Raw genomic sequence first — 21735 nt, 5'->3', positions numbered from 1 at the left:
GGGATTATGTGGAATGTATAGATCAATTTGGGAAAAATTACCATCTTTATAATATTTAGTCTTCTAATTCATGAACATGGAATGTCACTCCATTTATTTTTATCTTTTAATTTTCAGCAATGTTTTATCTTTTTCAGCATACAAGTCTTGCATTCCTTTGTTATTTATTTCTAAACATTTTATTCATTGGATGTTATTGTGAATGGCATTTTCATTTTTGGGTGTTGCTAGCACGTAGACATATAATTGACTTTTGTATGTTGATCTTTTATCTTGTGACCTTGTAGGACAGTCTTTTGGTGAGTTAGGAGCTACCTATAGTGCCAACCAAGAGAACCACAGACTAGTCAAGAGCTGGAGTTATCTACCTGCCTCCTACCTGTTGCAGGGACCTCCCTTTCAGCCCACTCAGCCTCAGCAGTTCAAAGGATACAGCCCTCTTCACTTCAAGGGGGTGCCTAACGAGCAGCCCATTAGAAAGCTTCCCCAAACCAAAGGACCAGTCTACCTGCTGCTGTGGAGCGAGGCACACAACTCCACTCCCTCTTCCTTGAGACAAGGCCACCTCTGCCTACCTCCTTCAATGAGGCCCCAGAACTGGGGACCAGGCAGCCCTCTCTAGCCTGGCCTGACACCTGAGCGCCACGGTCCCACTGCAGCCTGGTACAGCACTGCTTTCTCAGGGGCCACAGAACACCTTTGTCCCAGTAATGTGTTTTTAGGTCAAAGTGGAGAGGTTTGAGGGATAGGGGTTCTGTAAGTTTTGCGTATCTACTAATCCCTGGGACTCTTGGCTGCTCCCGTACAAGGCAGGGAGTGGAAATCAATGGCTTGCCTTCTGGACTTTGGTTATCCTGAGCTCAGAGCTGCAGTGAGTTCCTCTCTGTCAGTGCACAGCTTCATTTGGGGGACCCTTCAGGCACAATCCTCAGAGATGGGACCGTTTCCAATGGTGGTATGTGAGCAATTTCAGGAGACACGTGGGCCATCAACTCACAGTGAGGAAACTACTCTTTTAAAGTATCTTGCAGTCTCTCCAGTTATGACAAAGAGAAAGTCTCTGTTCGTGTTGGTATGTCCTTAGTACCCTCTTTAACCCTTGGTAATCCCCCAGGCCTTCAGGAAATGGCATAATTTCAATCCCTTTTGTTTTTCCTTGTATACTACTTATGGCAAGTAATATCAGCTTCCCATTTACAGTAGTATTATATAAGGCTGCCTTTCAAAATAAAGTTCTCATGGTCCCCAGCCCTGAAAAAACAATAAAAATAGGAAACATTAAAGAAAAAGATAAATTAAGTAAAAGCTTTTGATTTGATGAGGAAAAACAGTCACTGCCGTAGAGTGGCCTTGTACAGACACAGCCAGGGTGCTGGTGACATGGGACGTGTGAGGTCGGGGTATACTGGGCAGTGCCCAGGGCAGCAGGGCCCCTGCAGAGGTGGCTTCCTGGTCCACCCCGAGCTTTCCCGGGATCCAGCCCGCTAGCCCACAGCAGCAATCCCTGTGCTTCCCTCCCCCTGCAGGTGTGGCGGGCTGGGGCTGGTGCTGGCCAGCGCGGGCTTCGGCATGCTGACGGCACCCATCATCGAGCTGCACAACCAGAAAGGCTACTTCCTGCACCACATCATCTTTGCCTGCTGCACGCTCATCTGCATCATCTGCATCCTCCTGCTGCCCGAGAGCAGGGACCAGAACCTGCCTGAGAACATTTCTAACGGGGAGCACTACACGCGCCAGCCGCTGCTGCCGCACAAGAAGGGGGAGCAGCCACTGCTGCTCACCAACGCCGAGCTCAAGGACTACTCGGGCCTCCACGATGCCGCAGCCGCGGGTGACACACTGCCCGAGGGTGCCACGGCCAACGGCATGAAGGCCATGTAGCCCGGCCTGCGGAACCCGGGGCTCCAGGGTCTGGGGCAGCTTGGGCACAGGTTTACAGACCAGGGACCGAACACGCAGCCAGGGGTGGGAAAGCTGCCTCAGCCAAGCTGAGCCTCTCAACTGGTGTGGGGAAATCCTGTCTTTCCAAAAGTCCAAGGAGCGCGGGTCGGAGGAGACAAACTCTTTGGAAATAACCCTTTCAAGACTTTCTTTTCTGCCGTTAAATGTGTGTATTTATTTTGGTCATTTTTACGAGAAGCACTTTATTCCCTCTCCCTCTCACTGATCACAAATGGAATCACCTCCCTGGGCAGCGAGACGCAGTTGCTCTGGGAAGATGCCACAGTGACCAGGGCCATGGCCGGTCCCTCTGGGGAGATGGGACACGGCTCCTGGCAGCACCCAGGAGCCCCCCAGGCTGCCTGCCTGCGTGCAGAGGCAGGAGAGGACCGTGGAGCGTTTCCGGGACTGCATTTTAGACGGAGTGAAATGTACATGAATTTGGCTTTTGCTAGAGTCTGTGTATGGTTTTTTAAGGTCCTTTTTCCCTTTCTGTTTGTAAGGTAAGAGCTTCTGTTCGTGTGCAGGGAAAGCAGCTCACAGACGCCGTTAAAACCAGCTTCATCTTTCCTTCAGGATCATCCTTTTGTACTTGATGCTGGAAGCTCTTGGAGAAAAAGCTTAAACATTTCACCAGAAATCTTAATTGAGCAGCAGTCATATCGCCACAGCTTTGTGAGTACACAGCTAACAGATGCGTCGAGACCTGAGATGTGCTCGTTTTTATTCCTCCTCTCCCAGATTGGCTCCAGCAGAAAAGTCCCTCGTGCACAGGCAGCTCTTGTGCCGGCACTACTTGAAAACATGGCTACTTTCTAAGCTACAAACCATTAGAAAATAACTCAAAAAGATGGCAGAGGCAAATCCACAGAAGGGGGGCTGCCCTCCACACACACACGCCCGTCACCCACACCTTGAGCACACACCATGAAGATCACCAGCTTGGATGGCCGTCACCTCAGACATCACTCCAGGGAGCACCCGCAGGAGCTGGGCCCCCTCACGCCTGCCTTCCTGGGCCAGCTTCCTGCTTGCAGTCACTCGCATAGCACAGAGGTGGGGCTTCGGGCAGGGAGCGGAGATTCCTCATAGGTGAGTCCAAATGACCTCCAGCCTCTCGAAGGCATCAAGACAAATTGAAAGAAAGCAATAACTCACCAAAGCTCAACGCTGCCCCTGCCTCGACCTCCATGGGTCTCTTCGTGTTCCTCGTTTCACCCCAGAAAGTGGAGGTTTCCTCTTGGCATTTTCGGAGGAAACTTGTAGGACACCCAAGGCGACTAAGAGACAGCCTCCTTGGCAAGGGCAGGCACCACTTTGTAGCAACTTGGGCACCAGCTTTTCTGGACAGCCTGGCTTCTTACTGGCATTGTCCAACTCATCCCTTCTCGAAGCATGTCTTTGCCATGGGCTGTGTCCTTCCAGGGAAATTGTGGTCTCGGGCCTGGGTGAGACAATGAAGTGACTTCCAACCGACAGTTGCTAGAATTCACAGGGCAGAAAAGGGGTTGACCTTCTCCCCTTCTGGCTTTCCACCCGGCCTGCTGCTTGCTGTCGCCACTCATGTCTCCTCCACATGCGGTCCACACATCAGTAAGGGCCTGGAGATGTGTAAAGACACAGCAAGGGGCAAGCAGACTCTTGGCCACGTGTTTCCAGTGGCTGGACCACGCCGACACCTGGGATCTTGAGATACCCAGGAAGGGAGGCTGTCTGGCCAGCCTCTCCCTGCCTCCACTTGCTCCACGTCCAGCTCCTCACCTTCCCTCTTTTTTAAAGTCACATTTCCATGTTTCAACATTAGTTTGCATTCACCTTTACAAAGGCCTTTCTTTAGATCTGTGCAGCCTTTGCGTGCCAAACTTGTGAAATTCCTTTTACCTTTTTTGGAGTACTTGCTATAAAGCCACCTGTCAACAAACCCCCATTATGTACAGAATAGGACCTATCCAGTAGCCAGGCCAGTAGGCAGTTGGGGAAGGTGGGAAGGATCCAGCGAGGCCCCTGAGCCTGCACCTGGACAGGTGTACGTCTGCACCCATCACCCTCAGCACCAGGCCACCCTGCAGTCCACTTACTGTACTGTGTTGTGGAAGGATATGCTAAGTGATGAAAGTTGCGAGCAGTCTCACTGGTCGTGTAAACTTTTTTTTTTTTTTGGAAATTGAAGCTGTAGAGTGCTGCCCGAAATCTCTAGGAAGTTGGTGGCAAGGGACAGCACTCACACTCTTCTGGTCATGATCTCTGATCTCCACCTCAAATGACAATAAAAAACTGGTCCAACGAAGACACTGCTCAGCACTTCAGCCATCAGGACTAATCCATCGATGACTGGAAAAGAGGCTAGCTTTGAGGAAAACAGCCTGGGCTCTTGGGAGCAGAGTCCAGTGGGTGTGAGGCTGACTTGCCGACGGTCGGCAGGTAATGGCTCTCAGCCGGCGAGGCGGTCCCACAGCTCTCCTCCCAGGGCAGCCTGAGGAGGAGGAGGCCGGGTGCCTGTTTGGTGGCAGCTTCAGCCTAGGGATACCTGAAGCTGTTGAGCAACACCTTTATGAAATGTTGCCAGAGCAGCAACACTTCCCTGTGGGCACAGCCCCGGGAAATCCGGTACCAAGTGAGCAAGGTGGCAGGACCCACCCAAGCCTGATACGCATCTGGGCCCGCCGGGCTCAGCAGGGGAGGCTGCTACGGCTGCCCACTTCCCAGCACCGTCTGTCACGCTTGAACCCCTCTGTGCTGTTCCCTTCCTGGCTAATAGGGAGACCCTTCGCAGGCACCCACTGTTTCAACTTGACCCTCCCACCCCCTGCTACTCTCCTCCACACACCCCTCCGTTCCGCTAGCCTACCCTGTCAGCCTTTCAATAAAAGTTATGCACAAATGTGAACACCTGAGATGGAGCTGAACATTTCTTCACTTTGTTCTTTTTCTGAAGTCAAACTCTTATCAAATGCCCTAAAATTATTACCACCCAAGAGAAACAGGAAAAAGGTTACATGTTTTTGTTTACTGAGAGTAAGATCACCTGCATCTGGAAGACGGGCTGGTAAATTGGTTTGGCTACAGAACAGAAAGAAAACAAAAACAAACCTCGTAAGGGAAGTATCACACTCAGACACCACCGCTTCCTAGAGCCAAATGAGCAATCCCAAACTGCAAGTGCCATAAGTGGGCCTGTGAGGTCACACCGCCCGGCCCGAGGTATCGCATGTGCGGGGGAGGTCCACACTACAGCTGTCCTCTCGTCTAGAAGGCACCACCTCGCTTTCATGTCCCGTGTGTTTTGGAAAAGCAGTATGGTGTGTCATGTCTAGCGGCGAACACTTCCCTCCCTGTCCTTGAGGTTGTAATATAAAAACTGTGTTTCTGTACGTGTGGGTGGGAATTCTCTGACGGTGCTCGTTCATAGCACAAGCTTACGCTGAGTTCTGAACTGTCGTTCACAGCTGCGTGTCTGCATGGTGTCGCATCTGTTGTACCTTTGGGGAAAATTTGTATGTAAATGTACAGAAATAAAAACGTTGCCCCATTAACAGATTTCCTCTGGAATGTCTTCCCTACCTCACCTGATGGTATCCACCGAAGGGCATTTCACTACCATTAATGGTGAGTAATAAAATCCTCCGTGTTCATTCAGACCTCACTGCGTCACTACTTTGAACGCCTCTGTAAGCTGTGTCTTCACTCGCCCCGAGGTGGGTGGAGGGAGGCCTCTCACTCTGCTTCGAGTCCTGGTCTTAAAGGTAGTCAGAGGCAGAGGCTGGATTAAACACACACTGTTTACCAAGTGCCACTCTCAGACCACCTGAGAGACGGGGGCCATCAGTAAAATTAAGAGGAATTTTTTTCCCTTGTTCGTGTATGTTCTGCTGATCCGTGGCCTGAAGGTTCCTAGAGACGTCAAGAAATGAATATCTTACACTGTGATTCTGTGAGGAAAGACTGGTAACCCAAAACTCTCTTCTCTAATGTATTTTTTAACGAAAATGACAATATTTCTTTAATAAAGTATTTATACCAAACTCTTCTCTCCATAGCCCTGATTTTGTGTCACTCGCTATTATATTTCTAGAGAGGTGTCCACTCAGCTTTGCAAGCTGCGACGAGGCTGGCCGGGGCCTCGAGGTTAGCACGGGAAGTCTGCAAAGGAGGGAAGCACCCGGAACTACAGACTCACTCCTCCGACGTGCCTTTCCATCCTGGCCAGGGTCACTACCTTCACTTGCCTGCTGCTGGCTCAGTGCAAGACTTTTGCCTCTGGATGAACAAAAAGGGTTCAGACGGACCCCAAAGATTAGAAAGTTCTTTGCCAGTGGTCCTCAACCTTGCCTGCACGGAGGCACCAGGGGAGCTTTCAATCCTGCCAAAGCCTGGGCCCCAGACCATCTGAACCTCTGGAGAAGGCCCAAGACTGGAACCCACTCCAAGTGGTGGGATTAAAGATTAAACGCTAAAGAGTACAAATGACCAAAGCAGGTACCTGAGGTACTCTGGATTTGGGATAGAAGAGAGGGGAGAAGGGAAGACGATGAAATAACAGGAAGAGAAAGAAGGACCTGAAGCCTCTGAATCCATAAAAAGGAAGGAAATCAAACTATAATTGACATCTAAGTGCCACGGCACTTATAGTTTGCAAAGCATTTCTACCTACGTGCTTAATCCTAAAAAGAACCCACCAAGGTGGGGATTACTCCAACTTTATAGATGAGGAGACAAAGCCTAGAGAAGTCAGACTTCACAAGACCGCAAATGCAGTAATGGGGCAGTGTAGGGAGGTGCTCAAATGTAGGCCCAAGAGAGAACACAGCAAAAAAGGAGTGCCCAGAGGAGGGGTTTAGGGAGAACACAGCAAGAAGAGACGTGCCCTGGGGTTTCACTGCAATGAGGAGATAAATGCATCAATTCACAAGGCAGAATTCTGAGGAATGCACACACAAATCTAAAGCATATTTATACATCACTTTAATTCTAATTGAGGATGCACGTCACAGTCATGTCTGATTGAAACTCTTAGATTACAGTCTTCAATCCCAACAAAAATCCCATTTCATCCCTCTATCACTCACAGCCAAATGAGGAAGTATATACTGCCCACTTTGCCTCTCCTTCACCAGGTGGGTCAGTATGAGCCTTTTGGCCCACACACTGCTGAGAAGGAAGCTCAAAAGATTAACCCCTTAAAAACAAAACGGGAGCGCGGCCTGATGACAAACTGAAATTCAATCCATTTATTTACACGTACATTGTACATAAGTTTACAAATTCTCACTTCTGCCACTCAGCTAGAACTTTTCGGGGAAAGCCTCCATCTCTTCCTTGATCCTGTTTTCTACAAGTAATGCGAAGTTACTGTCTGTGTTCTGAAGGTTATAGCTGACAAACACCTGTTTGTTGGTCTTCCTGGCTAAAAAGAGAAAACACATTGATACAGCCACTCCTGAAATACTGCAGGCCCCGTGTTCCTCACAGCCACGTGCAGCTGGGAAATGCTCAGAAAGAGGATGGGGTTGTAGGGAGAAAAGAAAGCTCTAATCTCCATGCCTCTCTTCAGACAGGTGCTGCAAATGCAGACGAGTCACTCAGGCCTCTCCCAGTCTCTCCACCAGACCCAGGGTTCTGAAGGGCAGGCCCCACCTCAGCAGCCTCCCTGGAACTTGTTCGAGAGGCAGCTGCTGGGCCCCACCCAGCCCTCCTGACCCAGAAAGCCAGGATTTGGGGCCAGCTGTCTGCTGGAACAGATCCTGCAGGTGCCCCGCACTGCTTAAGAACCTCTGCCCTACACAGAGGGGTTTCTGGTGTTTTGATTTAAAAAAAAAAAAAAAAATTTAAACACAAAAAATGGCCGGGAGCGGTGGCTCACGCCCATAATCCCAGCACTTTGGGAGGCCGAGACGGGTGGATCATAAGGTCAGGAGATCGAGACCATCCTGGCTAACACGTTGAAACCCCGTCTCTACTAAAAATACAAAAAATTAGCCGGGCATGGTGGCGGGCGCCTGTAGTCCCAGCTACTCGGGAGGCTGAGGCAGGAGAATGGCGTGAACCCGGGAGGCGGAGCTTGCAGTGAGCCAAGATCGCGCCACTGCACTCCAGCCTGGGCAATAGAGCAAGACTCCGTCTCAAAAAAAAATAAGTATTTAAAATAAAATATTAAAGTTCTCCTTCAGCACCACCCCACCCCAACCAGTTCCACTTCCCTCCCTCCTACGTTTCCATGCATTTGCATATATGTGTATACACACAAATATATTTGTGTGTGTGTGCACAGATAGGCATATGGACACACACGTAATTTTCTACTGAATGTAAGTTTTAGTCCCCTTCTACAGAATCAATAGAAAATGGCTGAGGTGCACATTGGGCCAACTGCAAAAATCAAGCAGAGTCATACACCTGGAATCTGAAAGCCAATATCCTGAAAATACGTGGGCAAAAAGGCTAAAGCAGTTGGATGTTGCCTGCCCCACTGCGCGGCCTCCTCCTTTAGCCTCACCCATACGCAGGGCCAGTGCAGAACTACTCACCCCTGGAGAGGCACTGACCCACCCCCACCTCAACATATGGCAAGCATGTACTTAGCCTCATCACCAAAAGGCAAAAGGGTGGTGCGGTGAGGCTGAGGGCACCAGGCCACCTGCACCATTACTAAAGGCCGATTTAGAACACACGTCATGGGATCTCATCTGGGCAGCAGTTCTGTCCTTTCAGTTGCTGCCATCTGAGCTATGGTCCCACCAAGAACCCTGAGAGGCAGTGTGGCTCAGGGGCGCAGGTGCAGGCGCAGGCCCAGGCCCCACCGTGGCCTGGAAACCTCTCCCAGCTTTGTTTGGAAATTGAGGAGAGGGAGAGCCCAGGACCCCAAAAGCCTGTTTTTCCGCTGTACAAGGCTGCGTGATTTTTAGGGCTGGAAAGGTCTTGGGTATTAACTCACTGACTGTCCTTACAAAGCAGCCAACACACCTATGAAAAAGCAAGGCGGCGGCAAGCACAGCCTCTGCCTGAGGACAGCTGCTGAATTGTATGACATGTGTTTACGTCTCGGTAAAGCTGTTTTTTTATTAAAAAAAAAAAAAAAGGAATGTGTCCGGACAAAGGCAGCTGTTCGGTTATTCCAAGAGCTGGTGTTTAAAGAACAGCTTACAGTACTTAGCACAGAGCCTCCCACCAGTGTGCTGGGTGCAGTGTGCCCCCGAGGCGGAGAGTTGTGCCCAGTTATCTGCTCAGCCCTGCGGGGAGTGAGGAAGCCTCTTAGGCTTCCCCCACCATTAGGGACCAACCTCATCCTTTCCTAGCTGTGTTAGGCAGGCTGGGACCACTCATGTAGAGGGTGATCTAAAGGCAGGCAGTGTGGTAGGAAGCTGGGGCTCACCAAGGCTGCCTAGGAGGAGCCTGTAAGTCACACCCTGCCCTATATCCCAGGGGCAGGAACATCCCCCTTTACCCTAAGGGGGCCCCCCTGGTATTCCAACTGTTCTAACTGCAGAGACAGGATTTCTGAGGAACAACGCTGTGTCTGGAGGCACTGAGCCCCTCAGACCCAAGCTGTGCCCCTCCAGGGCCATAGGAGGTTGGGTCCCCTTGGCCACACCAACTCCTGCGATGCTTCCAGAGCTACTGAGAACCCCCCAGGCCTTCTCTTTCCCTACCTGCTTTCATCTCTCATATAAGATACTGATTCAGGACACCTCTCCCTTTTCATTATAGTGCATTTTCAACTTGAGGGCCCAGACCCAGGCTCAAGGCAACTGGCAAAGCATGGGACTTTGCTGGAAAACCTTCTTGGTCCGAGCTCTGCAGCACCATTCCCTTAAGAGACGCCGGAAGCCACGGCACACCCGTGACTTGTTGAGACAGTCGAGATACTGAGAACCCCTCTTTTTTGCATATAGATACTAGGCCTCCATCTCGCAAATATTCTGGAGACTAATTTACCTTATTGATATGAAAGTTATTCACGGCCTGCCAGACAAGCTCACACCACCTTCTCTATGGGAGTGTGTCCGCAACCCCACCCAGCTTTCCGTCTGTATAAATATGAATACCTTCCTGAGCCTTCTCCCACACGCAGTAACCTGTTCCATGTAAGTGTGCTACCCCTTACACAGTCACACACACAGAGTGACACAGACACAAAAGGCAGCTTTACTTTCATGTGGCTCAGAAAAAAAAAGATACAAACACAAAGAGGGAAGGGTGGCAAGTGGGAAATTGGGGCAAAAGCTAAGCAGGAATTCTATCTTCTTTGCAACTTTTCTGTAAATTTTAAATTTACTTCCTAGTTAAAAATTACCAAATTAACTTACAAGTCAGGTCCCCACCTCCAAGGGAGGGAAAAAGAATACTGCGAGTTCCTGAAATGCTGACCTGTGCCCTCCCTGACCTCTGTCCTATCCACATACTGTCATGGGCCTGCTGGTGACACTCCACCCTGCCCTGCCTTCCCCCTGGGCCAGGTGCCATGCTATTCGTGTGCATTTGCCTCAGTGTGACTGACACAGAGGTTCCTGCTTGTCAGGTACCAGGTCCTGTGCCTGAGACACAGAGAAGACTCCAGAGCAGAAGCAGCTGGGCCTACTGGAGAACGCCAGGCCTGGGCAGGAGACAGGCATCCTGTGCACACTGGCCACAGGCACTGGGGCTGGGGGTCGCAGAGCACATGGAAGCCTTACCTGGCCCACAGGAAGTGTGTTGGGGTGTGGGAAGAGTGGAGCATTCAGCCTCATGACCTTTGCTTAATCCCCACTCTACGCCACACTCACAGGCCAGGCCAGTCTTCCCTCCGAGCCCTGAACGGTATCACACTGAGTGAGGACAGTCCTTCCTGCACAGAGGTGACACCTGCTCCACCAGCTGCACTGACTCCTCCTAAGGCCCGGGAGGCTACCTTGAGCCACCACCCACAGGGGCTGTGGGCACTTCTCATGCTCTCCTCCCAGGAGGTGGTGATGCACTTACGGAAGGCAACTAAATCAGCTCATGGACTCAAGGACACACCCAAGGACGAGGTGGGAGTCCTTTGGGAACAGGCCAGCCCTGGGACGGTGGTGATGACAGGCGAGCATGGAATGTGCCCCTTAAATAAGACCCAACGTGCAAAGGTCTGTGCTTCCCAGCAGCAATGAGGTGATGGTTCTTAGCATAAAGATGCTTTACTTCCGAAGGGACTTGCTTCATGGTTCCATTAAAGAGTGGGCCCCACCTGGCTGGCCATGCAGCGCCAGCTGTGGGTACATACCTAGGCGCTGGGCAAGGCCAGTAGAGGTCGTGTCGGAAGTGTCTCCAAGGAGGGAGGTAGACACGGGGATGGAGTCCTAAAAGAAAAGCAAAGGGCACACTGCAGCTTCTCCACCCCCCGCAGGCCAGCCACACTTCTGGCTTCCGGGCTTCTGATTCTTCACGACGATGGCAGTGGCAGGTTCAGAGAGGACAGGCACAGGTGCCGAGGGAAAGAGGGGTGGCGTCCGTCAACAACCAAGTAGGTGGACCCCATGTCGCATATGAGGTCAGCGGAGTTGGGAAAGATGAAGCTGGAACCACAGTGCTACTAAGTTCTAGGACCAGTTTCACACGAAAGGCTCGTTTTAGTGTCTCAAACTCCAAAGCATGCTGAAGGGCAACACCACAACCAAAAGGGAAGCAAACAAGATCATTAAGGCTACAGCAAGAAGAAAGTGACTCACAGTCGGGGCACCTGTGCACTGGTGCCTCGTGCCCCACAGCAGCTGGCTCAGAGGCAGGATGCCTAATCTCCTCATCTCAGCCTGTGAGGGAGCATGCTGCTCCAGCCCCTGTGGGCTCCTCAGGGTCAGCGAGTGCCTTGTGACTTTGATACAAAGGGCACCAGCCACCAGCATCTAAATAGGGAAAATAACTTCTGAACATGCTTGGCCAACCTCATTTCAGACAAGAAGCAGTAAGGTGAAACAAGCAGTACAAATGATTCTCAGATCAACAAATGGGCCCTCCGGCGATGTGGGAGTAACTGCTCCCAACTACTTTGGGAGTAATCTCTCACCATTAACAATGTCTAGCTAGTCCCAGAATCCCAGCACTTTGGGAGCCTGTGGAGGGAGGACTGCTTGAGACCAGGAGTTTGAGACCAGCCTGGACAATGAAGTAAGATCTGTCTCTACATTTTTATTAAAAATAATAATAAAAAAATAAAGTAAGAAGGTCTAGCTTCCAAAGGGGGAAAAAAAAAACACTTATTGGTAATATGGCCAAAATTGCTTTTATCAAAATAGCAGATTTCTAGGAGAAGCAGCCTGGCTACAGAGGTCTGAGAATCTTGGAAAGTGGCAAGGTTTTTAGAGGTACAGAGACTTTGGGGTTTGGTTCCCCTGCCACCCCAACTGTCCTGGTGGGGACAAGTTAACTGAACAAACAGCTACTGTGTGCCAGACAGTATGGCAGGGCAGAGACCACAGGCGCTGCTCATCTCCTAAAGGTTCAAAGCCACTTCCACAAAAGACAATAAAAGGCAGGAGATCAAAAAACACAGGAGAAGAATGAAAGCATTTACTGTATGCTTCTTCACTAAAAACGATACAAAAATATCTTAATGAGCCTGCTGTTTACAGATTCCTCAAGTTCAACATTTAGCTGCATGGTAATAGTATGTACAGTTAAACCTTCTAGAAAAAAGAAAATCTACCTTACCCAGGGTGGCCTTTTTCTACCAAAAGTTAAATGTAAAGCCCCATCGTGTCACCCTTAATAGTTCATTACTTCCGACATCACACTAGGACTGTGGTCTCCCAGCAGATGCCCAGGGAGTTCTGCTGCAGCTGAAGCACCACCTTCCACTCCTAGAGGCCGGGCGGGGGGTCCAAGAATCCCTGAGCAGGCACGGGCCCAGGTCCCAGGCCAGCTTCCCTCAAGCTGGTAGGACTCAGTGTCACTAGTCCTGCAGCCTCTCTGGGCACCAAAAATCCCTGCTCAACCCAAGGTCAGCCAGCTCCGGGTTGCATGGTGTCTGTTCTCTACAGTCTCACATGTGGGAGTTTAGGGAAGCTGGAGGGAAGAGACCTCACAGACCGTCTGGTGCCATTCTCCACGTGTGGGCTGGCAAAATTCCTGAGAGGGACCAGATAGTAACTAGTTCAGGCTTTATGGATTACAAAGTCTCTATTACAACTGCTCAGCCCTGCCACCAAGGTACAAGAGCTCCACAGAGTCTACCTGCATGGACGGTAGATGGAGGGCTGGCCCACGGGTCACAGGTGGACAGTAGATGGAGGGCCGCCCCACGGGTCACAGGAACCTTGGGCTTCCTGCCTTAAGCTAATGCCTACACCTCTTTTCCCCAGCTGGCTCGGCTCTCTGCCCCTGGAGAGAACACCCAGGCACACTGCGGCCAGTGAGAGGGACTGGACTTCTGACAAGTCAGGTAACTCAATCAATCCCCTGTTCCTTTTCCTGCCTGGCTTTGCTGGAGGGGCACTTTCCAGATGAGAAAATATACCTCACTGGGAGCTGTGACCACCATGGGGTCGGGTGACCAAAACCACCCACAGGAGGAGCCTACTTCTTCCAAACTTACCAGCCCAAACCAGCACTGCACAAAGTGGCACAAGGCAGCGACACCAGATCTGACCAGTGCCCAAAGCCCTGCCCACTATGCCTTGGGATAAAGAGAGAATGCGAGGTGGCACAGAGCACACAGCCCCACCCATCACCCCTGGTCCCCCAGGCCTCTTCCGCTGCCGCCTGCTCAAAGGTCCACTGCCAGGACCCTCCAGGAAAGAAAAAAAGAAAAAAGGAAAAGGAAAAGAAAAGCAAGAAAGGAATCCAGATGCCATCTCCTTCCCAAGGCCTTCCCAGGTGCCGCTGTGCACAGCTAAGAGGCTCACCCATGACTTCCTGCCCCCAGCACCCTCAGTCATCACTGCCTCACTGGCTTCAGAAGGGTCTCGCTGAGGGGGCCTCACTCATTCATTCCACAGGGACTTAGAGAGCGGTGCATCAGGAGCTAGAGAAACAGACGCTCACCCTGGGCAAGCAGACAAACCTCACCGTGAAACACTCAACGGCTGAGAGAGGGAGCTAATGCGGCTGGGAGGCCAGCACTGCCCAGCTCGAGGACAGGCAGGAGCTCTAAGAGGTAACAGAGCCCGAAGGTCACTGGAGTCTTCGAGTGCTCCGAGTTCACCTCGTGAAAGGTTTTGAGCAGAGAAATGAAAATATCCAACTTCAGTCTTAAAACTATCATTCTGTTGCCCTGGTTACAAGGCAGTGTTGTGGCCTGAATTGTGTCTCCCCAAAAAATATGTTGAAGTCCTAACCTCTGGGTACCTATGAATGTGACCTTGTTTGTAAACAGGGTCTCTGCAGATGTAAATAAGATGTAATTTAGACCAGGCGCGGCGGCTAACGCCTATAATCCCGGCACTTTAGGATAAAGATTAGCATAAAGATTCTTTACTTCCAAAGGGACTTGCTTGCCTTTGGGAGGCCGAGGCAGGCGGATCACGAGGTCAGAATTTCGAGATCAGCCTGGCCAACATAATGAAACCTCAGCTCTACTGAAACTACAAAAATTAGCCCGGCGTGATGGCTCACACCTGTAATCCCAGCTACTCAGGAGGGTGAGGCAGAACTGCTTGAACCTGGGAGGCGGAGGTTGCAGTAAGCCAAGATCACGCCATTGCACTCCAGCCTGGGCGACAGAGCAAGACTTTGCTTCAAAAAAAAAAAAAAAAAATATATATATATATACAATTTAAGACAAGGTTATACTGGAGTAGGATGGGCCCTTAATCCAACATTACTGATGTCCTTATGAGAAGAGTCGGGCTCACTGAGGAAGGAGGATCATCACTTGAGGCCAGGAGTTCAAGAACAGCCTGGGCAAAATAGTGAGACCCCCATCTCTACAAAAAAACACAATTAGCCAGGTATGGTGGCACATGTCTGTAGTCCTAGCTACTCGGGAGGCTGAGGAAGGAGGATCACTTAAGCCCAGGAGTTTGAGGTGACAGTGAGCTATAATAATGACACTGTACCCCAGCCTGGGTGACAGTGAGAGACCTTGTCTACAGATCTTTGAGAATAAACCTCTGTTGTTTTAAGCCACGCGGTCTGTGGCACTTTCTTACAGCTGCCTCAGGAAACCAGGAGAAACCAGGCGGCGACACGCAAAGCCGGAAAGGCGGGAGAGGAGGGGAAATGATAATGTCCCAGGCTTGGCCCAGCGCGGCAGGGTGAAGGTGAGGGCGGCTTGGGTTTTGTCTGCTTTGACTGGCGGCAGTGCCTAGGGACTCAGCACGTGGAGTGTGAAGAAAGAGGAATCAAAGACAACTGCGAGGCTCTGAACGCACAGCCAGGAAGATGGAGCTGCCATCACAGCGCCAGTCAGGCGGAGGAGGGAGCAGGTTTGGAGAAGAGAGCCTGATGTGTGCCTAGTGCGAAATGCCTGAGACATCCAGTGGAGACGCAAGAGTCCCCAAAAAATTATCAGTGTGCTCAAAATCCAGATGGCAGGAGAGCTACGAGGCAGACGCGTCCCCCAGCGAGCGTGTGGCGAGGACAGACCCAAGACATTCTGACCTACAGAGACCAGTGCGGGACGCAGCTGCGGGGCGGCGGGACAAGGAGAGGGGCCCGGGGCCCGCGCGCAGCTCCCGAGGTGGTGCAGGCCCTGGCGCCCGCGGGCTTCCTAAGACATCCCACGGGTGGGCTTCGGGGGAGTAGGGCGCCCTGTGGACCCAAGAGAAGCCTGGGGGGCTGCAGCTCGCGCAGGCCCGGCGCCCCCGCGCCCCCGCCCCGCCGCCCGCACCCTCGGCCGCCAGGCACTCACGTAGCGGCTGCACATGGCCACGGCGAGGTTGCGCAGGTGCGGCGTGGCCCCCACCCACAGGAACAGCGAGTCCGTCAGCCGCATGACGTGGAAGTGGACCAGCTGCTCCCACAGCCTCGCGCTGAAGTTGTGCAGGGAGACGTCCCCGCCGGCGGCGACAACCAGCCCCTCCATGCCGCCCCACGGCTCCCGGCCCACAGCGCCAGACCCGGGTCCTCGCCGCTGCCAGCCCCGCCAGACCCGATGGAGCGAGCACCGAGAGACCGAGCGCGCTTTCGCTTTCGGCCCCGGAAGGGCGGGGGTGAGGGGCGTGGTCGGGGAGGGGCGATCCCGGGCTTGGGTTGGGGGCGTGGTCGAGGCGGGGCGGCTGCCGGCCCTGGGCGGAGTAGCTGTCCCTGGTTGTCTTGCTGGCCTCTCCCGCACACCAGTACCTCTCTGGACGGGCTGGGGAAACCCACTTGAGTAGCAGAGTGCGACAGTGACCTCTAGGAGTCCACGGGCGCCCAGCAGAACTCACCCTCGCTTTGTTTCCCCCCACCCCCTAATTATTACTGACGCGGGGCATTCAAGGGCTGAAGCCAGCCGCACCGTCCTCCCAGGCCGTGACACTTCGCCCTACAGACATTAATTTAATTAAAAATTTAAAAAGACTGATTTTTAATTAGTTCTTCAAGCACTCTGAGAACGGCCACCTCCCGTCCCACCTCCTCCTCCTAGCAGCCCTTTAACTCCAAGGAGGCTTCGACGGCACCCAGCCCTAATTAAGAATGGCAACGGTATTGGGAGAAAGCCTTTAGAAAGGAAAATTGTGTCAACTAAGTTGGCAGGAGGATGGGCAGGCACCCTTTTGGACGCCGAGTCCCAAGCTGCAGTCATGTACATGGCCTCGGGCTACCCCCTTAACCTCTCTGAGACTCAGTTTCCTCATCTGCAAAATGCAAATAAGAACAGGTGCCTTTCGGAGACGTGGAAAGGATCTCAAGAGAGATTAATGGGAAGCACCAACAATCATCCAATCATCCCATTGTCATACCTATGGGGAGACCCCTTGAACACTTCAGGACATTACAGAGTTGAGAAAAGGAAGCCTTGATGGGTTAAGAGAGAAGGTGGTAAAAGAAAACAGCCCATTTTGTCAGATTCTGTTACAACTGACTTTAGAGATTTAACTTGGAACTATAAAAGGTCTGCTTTAAAAATCTCTAATAGATCTAAGTTGACTAAATTGAAATTTAAGAGGGCATTTTCCATAGTTCTATTTGCTAATTATCGATGATTCAATAATACAGTTAATTTTCAGGTCAATATTTTAACAGCTTTATTAAAATGTGATTAACATACAATAACTGCACATATATAGTGTACAAATTGAAGTCTTGACACGTTATAGCCAGTGAAATCATCATCACAATCCACAAAGTGAACGCGTCCAGTACTCCCTCCTGCCCTCAGTAATGACTCCTGCCCCCAACCACTGATCTGCTTCCTGCCACACAGATTAGTCTGCATTTTCCAGAGTTTTGTATCAGTGGAATCACACAGTATGTACTGTTTTTTGTCCAGCTTCTTTCCTTCATCATAATTATCTTGGGTTCATCTGCTTGTGTGTCAATGGCTTGTGTCTTTGTATTACTAAGCAGTGTTCCATTGTATGGCTACACCATAATTGTTTTATCCCTTTACTTTGTGATTTGAGGCCCTTCAATCAGCTAGGAGGACCCAAAGATTAAGGAAACAAAGTTACCGACCGGTGGAGAGTTCAAGGCCTGGCTGGCATGGCAAATTTCTCAATCTGGATTGTAATGATGGTTTCACTGGTTATACATGTCTCAAAACCTCAATGCTCCTCTCTCTCTCCAGCTTTGCTGTCACTGCTCGGGAAACACACAGGCAGAGGGTCACAGCCAGTCATGCCCAACATCAGCGGCCCTGGAACACTGCCCTGCAGTCCCTAGACAGCGTCCTCTCTCACTCCCCTTGACTATGCTCCCCAAACCCTGAGCTGACCCAAACCCAAGTTCAGCAGATGCCCTTGCTTCTGATGTTATGCAGAAAATAGAGGTGACAAAGCCAGATTTTCCCAGCTCCTTGTCCCTCTCCTAAAATGCTTATCTTCATTGGACCCTATCTTTCCTTCTGCTCACTCTGTGACAGTGAAAGATAAAGATGTCCCTCCTTGTACAGAAGGTCAATCCATCCACCTGTGCTCTGACCCTGTCCTTTCACGTCCTCAGGAACCCCCCTCATTATCTGTGATGCGTCTCCAAAGAGCCTGCATGTGCCACCTAGGTCCACTTCAAAAAAAACTTGTCCCAACTGCTACAAATCCTACCTTCTGCCACGGCCTCCTCTAGAGTCTGCACACCCTCCCCGTGGCAGCCCACATACAATAACTGATGGAGGCAGACTATGAAAGCCAGGCCAGTTTGCCCCAGTGCAGAACAACTCACAACTCTGATGGGCCATTTTGGCTCCAGAGTGCCCAGGGAGTCAGCCCACCCTGCCTACTGCAAGGGCGGTATTCACCTTACACTATCAAAAGAAATCAAGAATGGATGGTCAGGCGGCTGAATGTTGTCACCCCCCAAAAACATTATGATGCCTGGGCCTGGAACCCAACAACTGGAGAGGTGACCAGGTCCCCGGCACCACCATGTGCCGTAACAATCGCCCCAGCCGTTCCCCAAATGACCGAGTGGCTGGCCACACATCACAGGAGGAGGAAGATGCAACATTTGAAGGGTTAGAGCTGGAATTGAGATCTGGGGAAACTGAAGTGTCATCACAGTCCTTCTCGAGTGGGGAACCATCCATACAGGAACAGAAAATAAAGGGAGTCCTCGCCAAAGGTCCACTGGGTCTGTGGACCCATCAGGGGTCATTTCCCTGGTCCTCAAATGTATAACTGGGATATATATACCTAGAAATTAGCCCAGCACCCACATTGGATCTGTGCCCTATAGGGTAGGAGCTATCATAGTGGAGAAAACCAAGTGGAAGCTTCTAGAATTATTGCCCTTCCCCCAGCCAAGCAAGCATGTCAAAAACAGTATTCCATCCTGGGGAGGATGGTGAAAATTTGTGCCACCCTTCAGGAGCCAAAGGATGCAGTGGTGGTAGACTTCATATTGCTATTTAATTCAGTCAAGTCCTGGAAGATGGCAATTGACTTCTATAAACCCAACCAAGAAGCAATCCCCATTGTGGCTGCCATAGCAGATGTGGAATCTTTGCTAGAGTGGTGTGATAATGCCATAGGTACATGGTACGTGACCAAGGATGCAGCAAATGTGTTTTCTATCCCAATCAGGAAAGAGGAAGACAAAACAATTTGCATTCACGTGAGATGGACGACATTCATTTACAGTTTTGCCCACAATTCTAATCTCTGCCCTGTCTGAAAAGATTGGGACTCTCTGGACATTCCACAGAATATCACATTGGTGCATTTGCCCACTGCCACCTGTTTTACCAATACCCCTTCTTCAGTTCCTGCTTTTGGCCATAGGAGGGATCTCATACAAATCACTTAAGGCTCTCGGACTCGTTTGTCTGTGGGCGCAAGCTACAAATAGATGACAGCTGCACTTCTGCCTCACTCAGGCAGTGGGTCTGGGTAACCATCTCATGTAAACAGAACAGCAGCCCAAGGTTGGAGTCTATACAGACTCATGGGCAGTGGGGAATGACCTGGCCAGGCAGTTTAGGTACCTTTGGGGAGAAAGACGGGAAGATAAAAGAGGTGGTGGTCTGAGAAGGGGCATGTGGCTGGAGTGTCCACGAAGTGTGAAAATCCTTGTCATGTTATCACTCAACAAACATCATCCACCACAGGAAAAATTAAGCAACTACATAGAATGACTCCACCAGTTGCCGTTAGCCTCATCCACCACTCTCCCAGGATGGGCACCGATAGACCCGTAAGACAGCCGTGGTAACACAGAACCCAACAGCATGGAAGGCTTACCAGAGTTGATTTTGCTCCTGCTGCCACCAAACATCCTACTTCCACCAGAGCGCACATGTAAGCCGTCAGTATGGCCCTGCTCCTCAAAGAGAATGACCAATACGTGGTAAGCTGGTGATGTTGTGCTCCTATGCAGCCAACTTCTTAGGAATAGAAGCATATTCCAAGTGTGTTTGTTCCTGTCCAGAGAATCAGAAAGCGCCATTATCCCAGCGCTCCCACATGGGAGTGCGCTAGGTCCATGGGATCCACAGCCACATCACATGCTCTGCAACACCCAACAGCTGACACCCAGTGAGAGAATGGCTGAAGCACCAGCTCAGAGATCATTCACTTACAAGGTCGGAGTCACCCTCCAGCATCTCATGTTCACCCTGAGTTAAAGTGTTTTCTAAGGTCCCACTGTGTCCAGAATTGGTGTCTTGTTGCTCTGACCCCAAGCATTCAGCCAGACCCTACAGGTGAGCATTACAGTTTTTAAAAGAGGCACAGGGGGAGTTTGTTTTTTCTGGTGTCCAGGCGCATCCCACAGCTTCTTTCTGTTGAGTTTAGTGGTTTCGCAGCTTGAAGGAACAAAGCTGTAGGCCTTCACAATCAGTGTTACACCTCTTAAAGCTACGCCTACTGGAATTATTTACTTCCATCGTTGGGTTCCCAGCCTCACAAACCCCGAGAACAAATCTGCACACCTTCCAGATAATTGTTACAGCTCATAAACCCAACACATACACAAAAAACCACCAGCAACAATATTTATCTAAAAAGACACACAAAAAAAGCAGAAAACTATTACAGCACAAAGCCATACCTCCTCAGATGTGCCACCAACAGCAGGTCGGGCAGCCTGCTTTTATTCCCTTATCTGACCCCACCCACATCCTGCTGATTGGCCCATTTTACAGAGAGCTGATTGGTCCATTTTACAGAGAGCTGATTGGTCTGTTTTACAGAGAGCTGATTGGTCCGTTTTACAGAGAGCTGATTGGTCCGTTTTACAAAGAGCAGATGCGTCCATTTTTTGACAGGATGCTGATTGGTGCGTTTACAATCCCTGAGCTAGACACAGAGTGCTGATTGGTGTATTTACAATCCTTTAGCTAGACATAAAAGTTCTCCAAGTCCCTACCAGATTGGGAAGACACAGAGTGCTGATTAGCGCATATATAATTCTCCAGAGGGACATGAAAGTTGTTTAAGTCCCCACCCAATTCAGGAGCCCAGCTGGGTTTCCTAAGTGGATCCCCCGCCAGCGCCACGGGCGGAGCTGCCAGTCACCGCCTGCATTATTCAGCCGTTGGGCGGTCGATGGGACCGGTCGCCGAGAAGCAGGGGGTGGCACTTGCCGGGGAGGCTTGGGCCGCGCGGGAGCCCACCGCGGGGGTGTTAGACATGGCGGGTTGCAGGTCCCGAGCCTTGCTCTGCGGGGAGGCGGTTGAGTCCCGGTGAAAATTCTAGCGCGGCGCGGGCGGGCCGGCAGTGCTGGGGGACCCGGGGCCCCTTCCACAGCTGTTGTCCGGGGTGCTAAGTTCTTAACTGTGCAGGGCCGGTGGCGCCGGCCGGTTGCTCCGAGCGCGGGGCATGCCAAGCCCGCGCCCACCCGGAACTCGCGCTGAGCGCCCCGCCCAGCCCTTGTTCCCGCCCGCGCCTGTCGGTCCACGCCTTCCTGCAAGCAGAGGGAGTCGGCTCCAGCCTCGGCCAGCCCCAGAGAGGGGCTCCCATAGTGCAGCGGCGGACTAGAGGGCTCCTCAAGCGCGGCGAGAGAGGACGTCGAGGCAGAAGAGGCACCGACAGCGAGCGAGGGCAGCTAGCAGGTTGTCACCTTTTACCATGTCCCCAGTGAAAAGACTACAAGAAACAGGGAACCAAGAAGTGGAGGCAAAAATGGCTGTCACTTCCAACAGTCCACTGAGGAGAGTGGGCTTCCCAAACCTGCGCCTGTGGACTGCAGGATTAGAAGCCCCATATCCCAAAGGGAGAACACTTCCACCTGAGACTTAGCAAGAGCCCCGTTAAGCAGTAAGCCATG

The 21735-nt window shown here is 51.4% G+C and overlaps 2 protein-coding genes across 20 annotated transcripts in view, besides 6 other annotated features; one reads left to right on the top strand and one right to left on the bottom strand.

The window, feature by feature from the left end:
- The window catches only part of SLC22A23 (solute carrier family 22 member 23), a 188078-nt gene extending 182112 nt beyond the window's left edge, over nt 1-5966 (top strand). For 12 of the 13 annotated variants that reach the window (NR_168069.1, NM_015482.2, XM_011514801.3 and 9 more), the window contains one exon: nt 1527-5966. Coding sequence is in view for 11 of the 13 variants with exons in the window: in NM_015482.2 (NP_056297.1) it covers nt 1527-1884 (358 nt within the window). In the remaining 2 variants the exon portion in view is untranslated. The remainder of the gene's footprint in view (nt 1-1526) is intronic. The other variant, NR_104448.2, reaches the window with a different exon arrangement.
- A 923-nt stretch (nt 5967-6889) lies between these two features.
- Nucleotides 6890-20535, bottom strand: PSMG4 (proteasome assembly chaperone 4). 7 transcript variants are annotated; one of them, XM_047418768.1, is made up of 5 exons: nt 20048-20535; nt 19710-19888; nt 11180-11255; nt 10614-10730; nt 6890-7348 (listed from the first exon to the last, which is right to left on the bottom strand). In XM_047418768.1, the coding sequence occupies exons 2-5, from the start codon at nt 19764-19766 to the stop codon at nt 7227-7229; spliced, it is 372 nt and encodes a 123-aa protein (XP_047274724.1). In that variant the 5' UTR covers nt 19767-19888; nt 20048-20535; the 3' UTR covers nt 6890-7226. The 7 variants fall into 7 exon arrangements, with proteins under 7 accessions (XP_047274724.1, XP_011512893.1, NP_001122064.1 ...); XM_011514591.4 differs by having other exon boundaries at nt 19710-20535; NM_001128592.2 differs by lacking the exons at nt 19710-19888; nt 20048-20535 and adding an exon at nt 15743-15992.
- Nucleotides 8155-8654: an enhancer, noted in NCBI's record as "H3K4me1 hESC enhancer chr6:3266519-3267018 (GRCh37/hg19 assembly coordinates)". NCBI's record gives its function as "activates a minimal SCP1, AML or CMV promoter by ChIP-STARR-seq in primed H9 embryonic stem cells {active_cell/tissue: H9 hESC(primed)}" and the evidence as "EXISTENCE:reporter gene assay evidence [ECO:0000049][PMID:30033119]".
- Nucleotides 8655-9156: an enhancer, noted in NCBI's record as "H3K4me1 hESC enhancer chr6:3266017-3266518 (GRCh37/hg19 assembly coordinates)". NCBI's record gives its function as "activates a minimal SCP1, AML or CMV promoter by ChIP-STARR-seq in primed H9 embryonic stem cells {active_cell/tissue: H9 hESC(primed)}" and the evidence as "EXISTENCE:reporter gene assay evidence [ECO:0000049][PMID:30033119]".
- Nucleotides 15283-15412: an enhancer, noted in NCBI's record as "active region_23887". NCBI's record gives its function as "activates an Ori minimal core promoter by ATAC-STARR-seq in GM12878 lymphoblastoid cells {active_cell/tissue: GM12878}" and the evidence as "EXISTENCE:reporter gene assay evidence [ECO:0000049][PMID:35858748]".
- Nucleotides 15533-15632: a silencer, noted in NCBI's record as "silent region_16852". NCBI's record gives its function as "represses an Ori minimal core promoter by ATAC-STARR-seq in GM12878 lymphoblastoid cells {active_cell/tissue: GM12878}" and the evidence as "EXISTENCE:reporter gene assay evidence [ECO:0000049][PMID:35858748]".
- Nucleotides 15683-15802: a silencer, noted in NCBI's record as "silent region_16851". NCBI's record gives its function as "represses an Ori minimal core promoter by ATAC-STARR-seq in GM12878 lymphoblastoid cells {active_cell/tissue: GM12878}" and the evidence as "EXISTENCE:reporter gene assay evidence [ECO:0000049][PMID:35858748]".
- Nucleotides 15923-16172: a silencer, noted in NCBI's record as "silent region_16850". NCBI's record gives its function as "represses an Ori minimal core promoter by ATAC-STARR-seq in GM12878 lymphoblastoid cells {active_cell/tissue: GM12878}" and the evidence as "EXISTENCE:reporter gene assay evidence [ECO:0000049][PMID:35858748]".
- Nucleotides 20536-21735: the final 1200 nt, after the last annotated feature.

Source organism: Homo sapiens, chromosome 6 (assembly GCF_000001405.40).
Source record: "Homo sapiens chromosome 6, GRCh38.p14 Primary Assembly".
NCBI classification, from domain to species: Eukaryota; Metazoa; Chordata; class Mammalia; order Primates; family Hominidae; genus Homo; species Homo sapiens.
The sequence above is the reverse complement of the archived record's forward strand: the minus strand, read 5'-3'. Positions and strand labels throughout refer to the sequence as shown.

Excerpts from the sequence above, each read along its gene's own strand:
- PSMG4 (NM_001128592.2), bottom strand. The coding sequence starts at position 15,916 with ATGGAGGGGCTGGTTGTCGCCGCCGGCGGGGACGTCTCCCTGCACAAC. Across the intron at positions 10,731-11,179 it reads TGGCCTTGCCCAGCGCCTAG|GGCTCGGAGGGAAGACTGGC; the intron begins GTATGTACCCAC and ends GATACCGTTCAG. Across the intron at positions 7,349-10,613 it reads ACACACTTCCTGTGGGCCAG|CCAGGAAGACCAACAAACAG; the intron begins GTAAGGCTTCCA and ends TTCTCTTTTTAG.